The sequence below is a fragment of the Homo sapiens genome, chromosome 8 (assembly GCF_000001405.40).
Source record: "Homo sapiens chromosome 8, GRCh38.p14 Primary Assembly".
Lineage (NCBI taxonomy): Eukaryota > Metazoa > Chordata > Mammalia > Primates > Hominidae > Homo > Homo sapiens.
Window position 1 is genome coordinate 113,495,910 of NC_000008.11, and position 2,009 is coordinate 113,497,918.

Genomic DNA, 2,009 nt, shown 5'->3' on the forward strand with positions numbered 1-2,009 from the left:
AATGCTTTCAGAAAGTAGAATTCTGAGCAGTGCATTTGGTTGTTCACTTTCATTCAAACAAGAGATGGCCAGATGAACAATAATATCAATTTGTGGACTGGACAGTGGTTGAACTAGATGGTAAGATATTTCAAAGGAACATGATTGAAATTGGTGACCAGAAAATTTAATGAAGAGGTATATAGTTAGACCTCTGAGTGAGAAAAAGAATCATGAATATATGTGTGTCCCATGTGAATGCTCACCAAAGTTTTTGAGTGGAAGATTTTAATACTCTAGTAGACAGGATGACCCATTCTGTGGATACCAGTCCACCTTTTCCTTCAAACTCTGCTGTCAGTGCCGAATAAGTTCATGAGCAAAATGCCTACTAGGAAAAGTATGGGGTTATACATAGATACAACAACATGGACTTCTACTTACCAAGGCCAGCCTGGTCACAGCCATTACTGAGTGCCCAATTTGCCAGCAGCAAAGAATAAAACAGAGAGCCTGATATAACACTATGTTCTGAAGTAATTAGTTACCAAGTGATTAGTCACAATCTGGTGGCAGATTGATTACATTGAACCATTTCTTTTTATTACGGAAGGCTTAACATTTGTTTCTATATGAATAGACACTTATTCTGGATATCAATTTGCCTTCCCTGCATGCTGTGCTTCTGCCAAAACTATCATCCATAGACTGCCAGAGTATCTTATCTAGCATTATGGTATTTCACACAGCATTGCATTTCACCAAGGAACTCAGTTCAGAGCAAAATAAGTGAGGTAGTAGGCCCATGCTTATGGAAACCACTGGTTTTACCGTGATTCTTGGCATGCTGAAGCAGCTAGATTGATAGAATGGTGAAATGGCCTTCTGAGAACTCAATTACAGTGCCATATAGGTGGCCATACCTTACAAGGTTGTGCCACAATTCTTCAGATGATCAATGTCTATTGTTGGTTCTGTTCTTCCATAGCCAGGATTTATAGGTTCAGGACTCATGCTGTAAAAAAAATGGGAATGGCAGTACTCACTATTTTACGCCTAGAGACACACTAGCAAAATTTTGCTTTCTGTTCCCGTGACCTTATGCTCTGATGACTTAAAGGTCTTCATTCCAAGAAGAGGCATGCTTTCACCAGGAGACACAACAATGATTTCATTGAATTAGAAGTTAAGAGTCACATTTTGGGCTCCTCAGGACTCTGAATAAACAGGCAAAGAGTGGAGTTATTGTGTTGTTTGGTGAGATTGATCTTGATTATCAAGGAAAAATTGGGCTGGTAATCCACAATGAAGATAAAACAGAGTATGACTAGAATAAAGGAGATTGCTCAGAACACATCTTGGAATTACCATGAAGTGTAATGAAGATCAATGGAAAACTATAGCAACCCAATCCAGGTAGCACTACTAATGGTCTAGACTTTTCAGGAATAAAGGTTTAGATCATTCTACCTGGTAAAGAGCCATGGTCAGCTAAGGTTCTTGCTGAAGGTAAAAGCTATACAAAGTAGGAAGTGGAAGAAAGGCATTTTAAATACCAGCTACGAATGCTCCTTTTTGTAATTTTTTTCTTTTTCTTTTATAAAACAAAACTGTAAAATAAGACACCAAACTCTCCAGACAAGATGAACTCTGTGACTAGCAGATTTGATCCAAATTTAAAAGCAGAACTAGATCGTCATAGGGGGGTGTGAGGGCAGACATATACCCTGTGTTCTCAGAGAAAAACAGCCACTGACAGATGTCCTGCTTGCATAGCATGGACTTGAATAAACTTGATGATTGATAGAAATTATGCAAGCCAAAGAAGGGTGATGTAACTAAAGACTAGAGATTCCCAAAGTGACTTCTGGAAATCCCCAATCAGAAAGAACTTGCGGCTTTAGGCTTGAAGGTCACTCAATCAGGATGCTGCTGTCTTGATAAATCCAGGTTCAGCTGAATCAACCAATCAGAAGTAAACAATTTTGAATACTTCATTAGCATAAAAAACTGATTGAGAACATGGGCAG